At 42.6% G+C, this 14721-nt stretch overlaps 1 protein-coding gene across 3 annotated transcripts in view; it reads right to left on the bottom strand.

Moving 5' to 3' along the window:
• Nucleotides 1–14721, bottom strand: part of TNRC6B (trinucleotide repeat containing adaptor 6B) — a 290975-nt gene that overhangs the window by 14269 nt on the left and 261985 nt on the right. For all 3 annotated transcript variants that reach the window (NM_001024843.2, NM_001162501.2, NM_015088.3), the window contains 7 exons: nt 12891–13028; nt 10547–10723; nt 8889–9035; nt 8543–8638; nt 6033–6257; nt 5528–5598; nt 311–450 (listed from right to left, as the gene is read on the bottom strand). In NM_001024843.2, the coding sequence (NP_001020014.1) occupies nt 311–450; nt 5528–5598; nt 6033–6257; nt 8543–8638; nt 8889–9035; nt 10547–10723; nt 12891–13028 (994 nt within the window). The remainder of the gene's footprint in view (nt 1–310; nt 451–5527; nt 5599–6032; nt 6258–8542; nt 8639–8888; nt 9036–10546; nt 10724–12890; nt 13029–14721) is intronic.

Below are 14721 nucleotides of genomic sequence, written 5' to 3'. Positions count from 1 at the left end.
CTGGGATTACAGGCATGGGCCACTGTGCCCGGCCCTAGCTTTATGTTACTTAGAATTTACTCACTACTTCACAAATTATTTACGTTTGGAATTCTGACGACTGGCCTCTGATATATACAGGACAATCCAAGCTTTGGTGGAAAAGACCCGGCACCTCCACACTCTCCACACTCGAGACTTGCAGATGCACGTGTGACGGTGCCATTCTTCGTATATGTTCTGGTGCATCTTTAATTCAGCAGCTGCCAGAATACTCACGGGTGCATCTTCATGCATGTTTGTCTACGTGGGTGTAGGACCGAATACTCACATGTGCAGTGCAGTTTGGGCCTTGGCCGCCTCCTGTTTGGTGCTGTATCGGATCAGGGCAGTGCCCTGGGTTAGATTCAGATGGAATGTCAGCAGTGGGCCATGCTGCATGCAGATCGTTCTCAAGGTTGACCCATCAATCTAAGGAGTAATGACATTCATGAGATAAAGACTGGAGGTGGGGTGGAAAAGGTACATTTTAAGATATTCAAAGCACTGGCTGAGACCTAGTGTGCCCATTTTGCAAATAGTTTCCATAAATGCAGCTCAAAACAAAAGCATATGATTCAGCCTATGGTCTGTTTTAAGAGATAAACAGGTGGGAGTGTTAACTTGTAGAGTCAAAAAAGGACAAAAATGAGATGGTATCCATGTAAGAATGTAAGTTAACATTCTTAGCATCACTGCTCATGTATTCCTCTGTAAAGAGAAAGACACAGACAAGAAAAGCACTACTAAACATCTGATTATTTAAAATGCTGATGGCTGACCTGGTTCATAGCCTATTCTAACACTGTCTTACCCCTACTTTGCCCATCTCAAGGTGAGACTATTTCTGCCTACTTCTCTATGTCCTGTGCTGACATCAGGCATTTTGACCAAAGGCTGTACCCCTCACCCCAGTTAGACTTTCACCACTTAAGATCTTCAGCGATTAGGGACAATTTTCCTAACCTATGAGTTGGATGAACAAACTTATTCACTCTGATTAACTTATTTTGCATCAAGATCTTTTTACTTATTTAGTTTTGAGACAGAGCCTTGCTCTGTTGCCCAGGCTGGAGTGCAGTGGCACAATCTCGACTCACTGCAACCTCCACCTCCCAGGTTCAAGCGATTCTCCTGCCTCAGCATCCTGAGTAGGTGGAATTACAGGCGCACACCACAACTCCCGGCTAATTTTTGTATTTTTAATAGAGACAGGGTTTCACCATGTTGGCCAGGATGGTCTTGATCTCCTGACCTTGTGATCCACTCGCCTCAGCCTCCCAAAGTGCTGGGATTACAGGCATGAGCCACCGCGCCTGTCCCATCAAGATCTTAAATAGGTATTTAAGATCAGTCCACCATTTCAGTTCATTTCTTTGGAAGATAAACAGATTACTATTGAATAGATTAAAAAGCTGTACTACTGGTGGCAGTGGTAGACACCCTGCAGGATGAAAACAGGCAGTTTCTCTGTAGTTCTTTGCAGAAAATGATCACAGAAATGCTCTTAGCATTGTTTTATAAGTAACAATAGATTACACAAGCATGTCAGCATATGCCACAACAGACTTTTTAGGATAGATGCTCTCTAGATAAATTTTAGGTGATGAAAGAAACATTATCCAGATAAAGTAGTCCCCTTTTATCTGAGGGGAACACCTTCCAAGGCCCCCCAGTGGAGGCCTGAAACCACCAATAGTACCGAACTCTAAGTATACTATGTTTTTCCTATACATACATACCTAAGACAAAGTTTAATTTACAAATTAGGCACAGTAAGAGACTAAAATAGAAAAGTTGCCAGGTGCGGTGGCTCACGCCTGTAATCCCAGCACTTTGGAAGACTGAGGTGGGCAGATCACGAGGTCAGGAGATCAAGACCATCCTGGCTAACATGGTGAAACCCATCTCTACTAAAAACACAAAAAAATTAGCCAGGCATTGTGGCTGGCGCCTGTAGTCCCAGCTACTTGGAGGCTGAGACATGAGAACCGCATTAACCCGGGAGGCGGAGCTTGCAGTGAGCGGAGATCGCGCCACTGCACACTCCAGTCTGAGCGACAGAACAAGACTCTGTCTCAAAAAAAAAAAAAAAAAAAGAAAAGAAAAGTTATAACAACATACTGTAAGTTATGTGAATGTGGTCTTTCTCTAAAAACATCTTAATATTTTTTGACTATGGTTTGACCAAGGGTAAGAAATCATGGGTAAGGGGGTGACAATTGTATCAAGATTTGCTTTTTTTTTTTTAAATTCAGAGATGGGGGGGGTCTCACTCTTCTGTCACCCAGGCTGGAGAGCAGGTGACTTGCTCTTATAACCTTTTAAGCTATGATAGAGATTAGTCTGCTTTTAGGAAGCTTTCATTTTAAAATTAGTTCTAACCCAAACACGGCCACCCCCATATTCATTTTATATGGATGTATGTGTATAATTAACATTTTTTTCTTTGAAACAGCGTCTCGCTCTGTTACCCAGGCTGGAGTGCAGTGGTGCGATCTCAGCTCACTGCAGCCTTCACCCCCGGGTTCAAGCGATTCTCCTGCCTCAGCTTCCCGACTGAGGTGGGACTACAGACACCCACCACCATACCCGGCTAATTTTTGTCTTTTTAGTAGAGATGGGGTTTCGCCATGTTGGCCAGGCTGGTCTGGAACTCCTGACCTCAGGTGATCCACCTGCCTCAGCCTCCCAAAAGTGTTGGGATTACAGGCATGAGCCACCACATCTGGCCAGCATTTTTCATAAGATAGAACAAGTGAACAGCCGATTGGCCTGCCCAGGCTTCTTTCAAAACAGTGCATCTCTTACTGCTTCTCTCAATCTCATCATAACATAATCACATTGTGTGACAACTCTTAGAAAATAGGAGGTATACATAGTTTTGAGGATGGTCATACAAGATTCTTCATATTTCAGTCAACTATTTGCTAAAGAAATAACTTGGAACTTAAAAAAAAAATTTTTTTTTCTCTGAGATGAAGTCTCGCTCTGTCTCCCAGGCTGGAGTGCAGTGGCGCAATCTCGGCTCACTCCAAGCTCCGCCTCCCAGATTCATGCCATTCTCCCGCCACAGCCTCCCAAGTAGCTGGGACTACAGGTGCTCACCACCACACCCGGCTAATTTTTTGTATTTTTAGTAAAGATGGGGTTTCACCATGTTAGCCAGGATGGTCTCGATTGCCTGACCTTGTGATCTGCCCGCCTCGGCCTCCCAAAGTGCTGGGATTACAGGTGTGAGCCACCGTGCCCGGCCGTAACTTGGAACTTTGAGCTGAGTTGATTAGATACAGAGATTAAGAGCTGACCCACACTCTCCCTCATGTTAACTGTATTTAGGAAATTGTTTACCTCAATGTGCATCTTGAAATACGAGTCCTGTGATTTACTCCCTACAAATGGGCAAATGTATTTAGGAGATGTATTTCCCCACAGAGAATCATAATATGTGTTAGCGTATTAAAAGGCCTAAGAAGTCTCAAAGTGAAAAAATCTGCTTAGTTTTGTTTAACCAAGTATACATGTCAAACATATTAGGCCAGAGACCTAATCATATCTCATGACAACACTCTGGAAAATGTTGGCTTAATAAAGTGTGCATGAATCCATATATGAATTAAATGCCAGAGAATGCATTTTGTATGTCAAAAACAGGAGGCATAACAGACTCCTTTTAACAAGGTGTTGTAAAGGTTGTGATGGACTCAGTTTTGATGAGCCCATTTAACCTCGTTCAGGTGCTCAACATAATGCTTCTGCAAATACCTCAGTTATCTAGCAACCAAGGTGAAAGGCAGAGTGGCTTGGTGCAAATGAAGCTCCTCCAATAGAAAACCACCTAGCGGATATGGTCTGATGAGAGCAAATTATAGTAATGCCATCTACACGTGAAGAGGATAATAGACGGAGAGTTAAACACACCCATGTAGCTTTTTTTTATTTTTTCAGATGGAGTCTCGCTCTGTCGCCAGGCTGGAGTGCAGTGGTGCAATCTCAGCTCACTGCAACCTCTGCCTCCTAGGTTCAAGTGATTCTCCTGCCTCAGCCTCCCGAGTAGCTGGGACTACAGGCGTGTGCCACTACGCCCAGCTAATTTGTGTATTTTCAGTAAAGACGGGGTTTCACCATGTTGGCCAGGATGGTCTCGACCTCTTGACCTCGTGATCCATCCACCTTGGCCTCCCAAAGTGCTGGGATTACAGGCGTGAGCCACTGCGACTGGCCCCATGTAGCATTTATAAACTATGAAGTCAAATGATCTCTTCCACTGGAGAGATGGATGGTTAATTATTTACAGAGCACAAAAATGGTTAATATGTTTTAAGAGGGAGAAAATACTGAGGTTTTGTAACTAAATGATGCATGAGATCCATATTAAGAAACAAAGAACTTAGTTGAGAAGGGAAGACACTTTCAGGGATAGGAAGTATAGGTTCAGGTCTTCTTGGAGGATTAACACAGAAACAGGTAGCTTTTGGGTGTCCTTAAAATACTCCCTTTTCCACTAGGTTCCAGATACTAACATGCACATTTGTATAGCAAATCGTGTCTACTACACAGAAATCACCAGAAAATACCACCCTACTCTGTTTGTTTTTTTCTCTTTCTCTGCCCCGTAAGATCTGCAGAAACCCACTCTCTAGTGGGTTTTACCTAGTTTTATGAACTAGCTTATAAAACTAACTTTCACTTTTGTAAACTGTATGTGTTATCATCATCTTGAAGGCAGGCATGAAGCCTAGTGGCCAGCATCAACCCTTCTCCAGAAGTAGACTGTGAACCTTGGGTGGGGAGGGGACACCCACTCCTGTAGTCAAGACCTCTTTGCAGTGATCAGGAGATGAACTTTCATATCTGCCAGCCTCCCACATCTATTTCCCTCTCTCTCCTTTTTGAGAAAGGGTCTTGCACTATTGCCCAACCTGGAGTGCAATGCAATGCAATTCTGGGCTCAAGTGATCCTCCCACCTCAGCCTCCTGAGCAGCTGTGTGCCACCATGCCTGGCTAATTTTTAATTTTTTGTAGAAACAGGGTCTCATATTGCTTGGACTGATTTCAGACTCCTGGCTTCAAGCAATCCTCTCGCCTTGGCCTCCCAAGGTGCTGGGATTACAGGTGTGAGAAACCAACCCCCATCTTTACCTCTTTTTTTTTTGTTTTTTTTTTTGAGATGGAGTCTCACTCTGTCGCCCAGGCTGGAGTGCACTAGCGCAATCTTGGCTCACTGCAAGCTCCGCCTCCCGGGTTCACGCCGTTATCCTGCCTCAGCCTCCCGAGTAGCTGGGACTACAGGCGCCCGCCACCATGCTCAGCTAATTTTTTGTATTTTTAGTAGAGACGGGGTTTCACCATGTTAGCCAGGATGGTCTTGATCTCCTGACCTCGTGATGCACCCGCCTCGGCCTCCCAAAGTGCTTGGATTACAGGCATGAGCCACCATGCCCAACCTTTCCCTCTCTCTTAATACAATCAAGTCCTATCTAGAAAACTGCGAGAAAGCATAATTACCTGTGGGGTGAGATTGTGAAGAACCAGCCAGTAACTAGGACGAACTGAGCCACCATCACTCCAGGTAGAGGCTATGAGCAACCAGAAAAATGGTTAGGAAGAGAAATAAAACAAAAACAAGAAAAGCCATGAGGGAGAAAGATTTTCATGTAGCTCACATTTCTTCTCTGCTTTTATAAATTCTCTTTTCCACTGGACTCTGACCTTCTTTTTCTCTTCTACTGGTCCCTGACTCCTATGCACTTTTATGCCTGATTTGCAAGACAGTATTTTCCTCCCAGTGTTCTCACTCTGCCATTTTTACTCATTTTACTCCATCTGTCCCTTTGCCTTATACTGACTGCGACTTTCACTCACTCAAGAGGTACCTTTTCCTCTACCAGAAGAAAAAGCAGACAACCATGACTTCCTCTCTTGGGAAGACCTCTTTGTGTCTTCACCATCTGTGTTAACATAAGCCCCTTGTGGATGAACAATGGTGTTCCTTTAGGCAGATCCTCCTCACCCGAGGCGAGCCGTGAGTCCTGTGTCCCCCACCCCCTGACTGATCGGGGTGCTGTGCTGCTCCAGGGAGATGATGGTTTGGGGTTGGTCAGACCAGGAGGTGGGCGGGGCAGCGGTGTAGTGTTCCTGGAGGAAATATGGTTTTTCCACATCTTGTTGGAGAGATGAGTGGGGTTGTGTCCTATGGGATCTGGGGACCATGTTGATTTGTAATCAGGGAACTTTGCTGTAAGAAGAGAAAATTAAGGAAGGAATAAGGTTAGACGGTTCACTTTTGTTGACAAATACACATGAGTTTTATCTACATACACATAAATACATGCACATTTATATTCTAAAAAGTAATAGTACACATTTTAAGCACAGCAATACAAAATAACACTGTTCTTAGAGCATAACGAACATAAAATTTTCAGTGACTACTACTCTGAATTGATAGAATTATCATATGAATTAAAGATTTAATAAGATAACCAATTCTCTACTGCTTTCTTAGCTAAAAATGACTTGAAAAGGAGGACACATTCAAGGAGAAAGTCTTCCTAAAGATACCAGCTTCTGGGTAACAGTGAGAATGTGAACATTAGCAGAATAAAGTATTCTATAAATAATCATTGACTGAATAGAAAGTAATTAGTAAATTACACTTTTCTTGTGCCTTGATCCAGTCTATTAGATATTGATGTTCACATAGATTCTTTAAAAACAATCAAGAAATATTCACTAAGGGCTTACTATGCATACGGCACGAAATCAGTGCTGTGAGGAATAGAAACAATTATCCCTGAGAACCTCAAGCTCAGATGGGAACACAGAACAGATGAGCAACAGAAGTGGTGACCCCAACATCATCACGTAAGCTCAATATGCAGAGGGGATCAAGAACGCTGGGCTTGCAGCAAAGGCTTTATAAAGACAGCTCTTGAAGGATTTACATAAATGGATGGGCACAAAGAAACAGGAATGTGTAAACCAAGGTTCAACATAAACTCTCTGTGTATGGAATATGTTCCCCCCCAATTTTGGTTGAACAGTTCACAGGGGCAGAGAGGTAAAGGAGGTTACATATCAGGAGTTTTTGCAACTGATTCAGCATGGAGTGTTTAAACTACTGTGATAGTAAATAGAATGGAACAGAAGGAATGGATATTTGAAATATGATTGCAGAATAAATCACTAAAGAGAAATCATAACTGCCTGGATCCAGGGATTGAGAGAGAGAGGAAAGAGGAAGAAAATACTGAGGTTTTGTAACTAAATGATGCATGAGATCATTATTAAGAAACATAACTGAGTTGAGAAGGAAAGACACTTTTGGGGGTGGGGAAGTATAGGTTCAGTTTTAGACAAGTCTGAGGTGATTCTTGGGCCATCTCTCAGATGAATTTTCAACTGTTGGAAAAAGACACATAGTTCAATCTGAGATATGGGCATTTATAGGTGTAAAAGAGTTGGGTAACCAGAGTTAAGTTTTTACATGTAAAAGAAATCCTACAAAAGTGTAATGTAGGGTGGTGGTTCAAAACCCGGAATATTGAGATGTCTCCTTTACATACTTGCTCAGAACTGAGGCAAGTTATATCTGCTCTCAGAACCTCACTTAGTTTCTTTATCCACAAAATAGGGGTAACAACAGGACTTACTCATAGCCTTTGGTGAAGGTAAAATAAAAATTAACGTGGAAGGTTTAGCATGATGCCTGGCCTGTGGGATCATTCAGTGAGTGGTAGGTTATTGTTGCACTGCTGATATGACAGAGAGGTGGGAAGGAGAACAAGACAATGTTTAGCCCACTAACCTGCAGCGTCTTCGTAGTTGGACAAAGGTCTACTTTATTTGCTTTTGCCTGGGCAAAGCACGTAAGTCATAATGACTTTAACAGCTTAAGGTCCGACTTGTGCAAACTAAAGGTGCCAATTACTAATATGTCTACCAATCAGTAAGGCACTATGCTCAGTGAGTGACTTCAAAGCCTTTATTATATCCACCAACTTTTCCATTTCCTAATATCTTTTAAAAAACCATGAGGAACTTACCAAATGATGGTAAAATGAATCAAGGTCCTTTTTTTTTTTTCCTTTGGCCATCTGCCCTTAGCCTTTGTCTATAAGTGGGAGGATTTTTAGAGAAAAGCTAGCTATTATTGGCTATCTTAGGAATAATAACCTGGCCTTCACTGGTTCTTCTCATGACCCTTGACTTCTTGGCAGCCTTGTTAAAAGAGAAGCATGTGTGTCATTAGGACGTGACTCCAGCCCTCTGGATATGCCAGCTCCCTGCAGTTATGTCACTACCGGCCTCATCCCAAAGCTGTATCTGGCTCATCCTTCCTGAGACTAGAAGTTCCTCAAAGACATAGCAAACAGAAAAGATGTGCTTCCATCTATACTGACCTATGCTACTGAACTTCTGTAAGAGTATATCTTATGAAATACATGCCAGTTTCCTTTATAAAAGGGAACCTGATGAAAAAGTGCTAACCAAAGGGAAACAAAAAATTCACACTCATACCTGAAGTGCTATGAACGTTGGTAAAGGAGTTGTCAGAGGCACTGTAGGGCCAGGCACCAGGTGAAGGCAGCGAGGTGTTGAGGGAAGAATTAGACCCTTGGGTAACAAAGAACAAGAAGAAAATACTGAAGATAAATGTCAGTATAACCAGTGAAACCTTGAGAGTATTTTGTTTAAACTTCAATAGAATGGAGGACAAAATATGTCTAACAAATAAAAGTGAAAAGCAATCTTTTTACATTTTTTGGTTAAACTTTTAGGTACCAGCAAGTACAAATGAAGTCACAAACTGACAACTATGAAAATGCTGGGTGTTGAACATATAAGAGATGCTTTGCTCAAGTACCTGTGGTGTTATCCCGCAGCAGTTGGTGGTCAGTATCTACAATGGGAGATGTGGCTGTACCCCCCAGCACACTTCCTGGGGTGACATAGGGGTCAGATTCAGGGTCAATGTTTTGGATACCTTTCCATGGCACTCCTGGTTGGAATTCTGAGACAAGGAAAACAAATATTAGAGAAGGAAGGTCGTTAAAAAAAAATGATATAGTACTTTTTTTGACATAAGAAATGGGTCTGTGAAAAGTATAAATACTGAATTTATTGTCTCTTAGATTTTCATCACAAAATTAAGGAAAAAAAAATCACCATGAACATACTCTTGCCAACAGCACCTTTGTTTTATCACACTGTCTGTGGCAGTCAACTGGAAGCCACAGCTCATCAGAGCCTGTCCCCAGTAACCTGATCCTCCTGCTCCCAGGAGACTTCAGGGCTGAAGGCAGGGAAAGCAGGAGTAAGGACTCTGGTGTTCACAAGAATCATCCCAGCATCTAGGCCAAGAACCGGTGAAAATATGGGCTAGAGATCAGTGCTCTTTCTCATTTTCCTTACGAGATGTTGGCCAAAATGCAAAAAATGTAATACAAATGATACTGCTACACAGAATGTCCAGGGATAACCAGCAGGGATAATTTAGCTTAGCAAAAGAAAGCCTAGAATATACATAAGGGCTCGGAATTTTTTTATTGGTCAATTTAAATCATTTTAAAATTTTAAGGCTATGTGACACAATAAACTTTTATTTTCCAAATCGTGATGAGAAAGAGCAATGTGTATTATATATGAACGATCTGCATTATACAGTTCTACTTTGGCCGGGCGTGGTGGCTCACGCCTGTAATCCCGGCACTTTGGGAGGCCGAGGCGGGCAGATCACCTGAGGTCAGGAGTTTGAGAACAGCCTGTCCAACATGGCGAAACCCTGTCTCTACTAAACATACAAAAAATTAGCCAGGCGTGGTAGCAGGCGCCTGTAATCCCAGGTACTTGGGAGGCTGAGGCAGGAGAATCGCTTGAACCTGGGAGGCAGAGCTTGCAGTGAACCAAGATCGCACCACTGCACTCCAGCCTGGGTAATAAGAGCAAAACTCCCTTTCAAAAAAAAAAAAAAATTCTACCTTAATAAAACGAAACTATACATATTCATGTCACAAATACGCATGCACAGAAAGAGGTCTAGGAGGATATATATTTATGGAATTACTGATTTTAATTTTTGCTTTATTAAATGTTCTCATTTTTCTATCATGAGAATAGATTACTATATCCAACAAAAGGGAGGGACAGAAAGAAAAGAATTAACAAATAATCTCATTGCAATCGCTACTGCATACCTAGAAGCTAACTGGTAATACACACTTGCCTAAGAACTAACAAATCAATTCAACAGACACTTCAAAAGAACCCATGTTACAAGGCATCCTATGCATGGGACGAATGCAAAGTCCCACCTACAATGTCACTTATCCCCAGATTCCCCATCTAATGAAAATTTTCTATCTTCCCACAGCACATGCCTTGCTTCTAACAGACAATTATTGAATGAAAAAAATAAAAGCAAGTACCTTAGTAACATGAATCACAAAAGCAATGTATTCTGAACCTGAAACTGACAATTACAAAACAAATGCTATCCTGGGAAAAGCATTTCCTAGACAATACCTGGAGGCCAACTGGCATTGCTGGATTTACTTCCGATTTTATTTGTTGGTGGAGATTTGGCAGGTAACCAGCTATCACCAGCAGGACCCGTATGGCCACCCAGTGTGTCACCAGGGATGATATCAAACTGGTTGTACGGTGACCCTCCCCGGGTTTTACCAGGGGCCACTATAGCGCCTGAGAAAAGAGAGGAAATTAAATCATCCAGAATAACTCCTATGAATAGAACTTGTCTATTTTTTATTCGCTGGAATGCAAACAGTCTTCTGAAGCTGATGGAGTATATACAAACAGCACTGGAATAAGAGGTTGCATTCGAGACTCAGCACAGAATTACTAAGCAGCATGACCAACAACAAGTCATTTCGCCTCTCTGAGCCTCTCAGTTCCTCACTTAGGCACACAGGATTGTTCTCATGCTTGAATGTTCCTTTCAGTTTTAAAATTCCATGGTCTTATGAAATTAATGAAACGTTCACATACTAGGAATCTGACCATTATCCCTAGTTTCTATGCTAACGACTCAAGAGTGAGAAATGGGGAAAATTCTAACCATTTGTAGCACATAAGAAGGTTTTAACTAAATTTCTACTGATGCTATCCACCCAGGTTCTTAAGGGCTGGCTGATCAGGCTTAGATTAGCTGGAAGCAGCAGTGTAAACAGAGAGTCCATTGGAGGGAAAAGCATCTGCAATTGCTTTAAATTCCAACGCAATGAGATGGAATTCCCGCCTAGGGTCTTTGCCAGCACAAGACCAGCAATGAACTCTGCAGCTCTGGGATCCGTGGCCTCACACATGAAGAACAGCAAATCCTTTGTAACTGGTTTCCTGAGAGCACTTCAGTGGTTTTGTCGCTGCCCCCATCATGCATTTTATATGCTATGGGGCAGGAAAATAATTAAAAGCTTAAAATTACCTTGAACTAACAGAACATGCACTTTGAATAAAATTTTAGGTATCAGTGAGATACCAGTCTACTTATTTCTCAAATGAATTTTACATACTATATTGGGTCACTTGATCTATTCTTAGGATGCTGCTTGTGAAGGGATAAAATTATTTCCAGGGTGATGCAGCCTAATGGGAATATTATCAAAACTACCTCCATACTCAGGCTAAGAGGGCATTTACTTTTCTGGAGCCACTGACAAATCTGGCTCAGAGGCACATTATGGTGAAGCAGTGGAAAATGACAAGCTCAATTACTTTGGGGATTGCTAAGGAAATGGGAAAACATGATCTATAAGCTCTAAAAAGGCAAGTAGAGATTTTGCCTTTGAGATATCCTCTCACATGCCATTTCAGATTTATTATCATGCACCTATCATGTCTTTGGGGACAAGGGGACCTGGTGAATCATCAGCCTAAGGAAGCATTGAAAGTGCCCAAAGCTGTAGATATCAGTGGGCTTAGATTATTCAGTCCACAAACAGATTTTACAATTTCAATAAATCATTTTTGACTTCATGCCATGAAACCAAATGATAATGCTTAGGGATGGCAGGCAGAGAGCTCCACGTGGGCATTTCACCAGCCTCCTGGATGGGCTTATTAAAGAGTGGTTTATAAAGGAAACCTGAAAGGCTTCAGACTGAATGACCTGGCTGGGGCTGGGGCCTGCCAGGGCGCTGCAGCAGGAACAGCCGGACACCTATTTATACTTGGTTCTCATGGATACAGTTAAGTCCAAGTGAATTACTGTCAAATGAAACAAACACTGAAACAAAGGCTGAAGGAAGGTTCTGAGACCTTTTATCTGTTTTACAGGAAATGGAGAAGCCCTTATAGAGAGAAACTGAGAGGAAAAGCCGACCAACATCACGACCAAAGCCTGCAATGCCCTTAAATGCTGTCTTGCAGACACTCTAATTCACATAGAATAAGAAAGCTTTGTGAAAAGTTCAAATCTCATGTATTATGATCTATTAGTCCTCTTTTGGAGATTAAAAGGCAGGAAAATTTTTTAAAGCCGATAAATTTATTATGGTTCAAACAACCAACAAGATAGGTATTGTTATGATCCCTTGCTCCGCAAAACAAACTCAACAAGCTGACTCTGTTCCCTCAGCCAACTTATTAGGGTTTCACCTTGGTGGGTGCCCAAGTTCACTGCTACCACCCTCAATCATGGTGGCTGAAAAATTCTGCTCCCTTTAATTAGAACTAGTACTTTATATTTCTTGTAATTCAACATACACATGACTCTGACCTTCCTCCACAGGCAATCATAGGATTCACAAGGAAAATGAATACCAAGTTCTGTACTTCAAAATAGTCTTATAAGATGTTTCATCAAGACCTGCTGTGGGTTGGGGGCTCTAGCTTTCAGTGCTTCTCTTACCATTTTTGTGCATATTGGCTTCCTGTGTGGCTACAGAGGGCAGCCCCTCCATCATGGAGGTCCACTGTTTAAAGCGAGACTCGGTTCCAGCCTCCTTCCCACCAACCATGCCATAGTCCATGCCGCCAGAGCTGAAGCCTAAAAAGGAGAAGACCACATTTTATAAGTCTCCAGCATCAGTATCAAGAGTTCTGAAGCAGAGTCCAGGAATGCCTTCAAGTGTCATTCAAAGACTAATTCACAGAGTTTCTCCACTCAGAAACAGGTATTTTTGATTCCAAGCTTTGATCTTGGCTCTTGCTCGCTAAATAAGTGATGTCTCTCTGTGAAGGCGTGAAGATGTGTATGACTGCCATCGATCAGGTCTGTCTCAGTGCATTCCTGCACGCCCTTTTTCATTTAGCTGACATTTGTGCCAGACAGGAGGCTGGGGCCAGCCACTCTCAAACTGAGATGGAGAAGACGACATCCAGCCAATGTAGCGCAACAGCAGCAACAAAGCTGTAGTCAGGGTATCTTGGGGGAGGAAAGGGTTTGCAGAAGGAAGATGTGATCTAGGGCCTCAGGGAGGTATTTGGGGAAGTCAAGCAAACCAAGTACAGAGCTCTGACTCTTGATAATCAAGTGTGTTTAGGGAATGGTGAGACATTCAAATGACTCCAATGGTTAGCTAACTCTGGGATGAAGTGAGGCGGAGAGTGGTGGGGGATGAGGAGAAATGAAGTTGTGTCATGTAGGGTCTTTATATATTAGGCCAAGGAGTTCGGATCTTTTTTTCTCTAGGATAAGAAGATAGTGAACATTTTAAGCATGTAAGAGGATAACTAGTATGTATTTTAGGAAGAGAATTGGCAGCCTGAGTGTGGGGTGGGTGGAGGTCAGGGCAGAATCTGAAAGATAAATTTGAAAGTAGTCTTTAAGCAATGAGGAAGACACCAAAGCTTGAGTAGGTGGGTAGTTCGAGATTCTGAGCTCACTTTGCCAAGAGCCCCAGGTAAGCTTCAGGGGAAGAGTCTTGGTGGGTAATGTGTTCCCACTGCACAGAGCTGGAGAGCTGGAAGCCACACAGCAGAATCTGGATGACGGAGTCTAACAGGGTCCGTCATCCATTTGGGTCAGAATGTGTGTGACACCTGTTCATAAAAACTCTCAAAAAAGTAAAATAAAGGACTAAAATGATGAAACAGGGGAGGGGGAGAATAATAAATGACCATAGAAAAATGAGAATGAGCCACAGGGAGCGCAGAGCGGCAGCACGAGCGCAGGCATCCCAGGGAGGCGAGCAAGCCTCCCACCACGGCAGAGCCAAGCTTCTCTGCCCCAAGATGTGCAACTCCAGCCAGGCCAGACTGCACACTATACCCATAAAGGGTCCTCAATTTTCATCTCTCCAAATCCCACTAAGGGATCAGGTTGTGTTTTTCCTCCCCTGTGCTTATCCTAGTTGTCTGGGATAGTTTGATAAACACATAATAAATCAAGTAAAAGTCTAACACCTTCCTGACCCATGTTCAAAATGTTGCTATTTATATAAAGAACAGTGTTCTTTCACACTCTGTAACCGAATTTACTAGTTCAAAATGATTGGAGAGTGGAGGGTGGGGGTGGGGAGCAGAAATCTTTAGAATGAGATGAAAATATTTCAAATGAAATTATTATTATTTTGGAGATGGAGTCTCTGTCACCCAGGCTGGAGTGCAGTGGCACAATCCTGGCTCACAGCAACCTCCGCCTCCTGGGTTCAAGCAATTCTCCTGCCTCAGCCTCCTGAGTAGCTGGGACTACAGGCACACCACAGCCATGCCCAGCTAATTTTTTGTATTTTTAGTAG

The sequence above is a fragment of the Homo sapiens genome, chromosome 22 (assembly GCF_000001405.40).
Source record: "Homo sapiens chromosome 22, GRCh38.p14 Primary Assembly".
Classification (NCBI taxonomy): Eukaryota; Metazoa; Chordata; class Mammalia; order Primates; family Hominidae; genus Homo; species Homo sapiens.
This window is presented reverse-complemented; position numbering and strand designations above follow the sequence as displayed.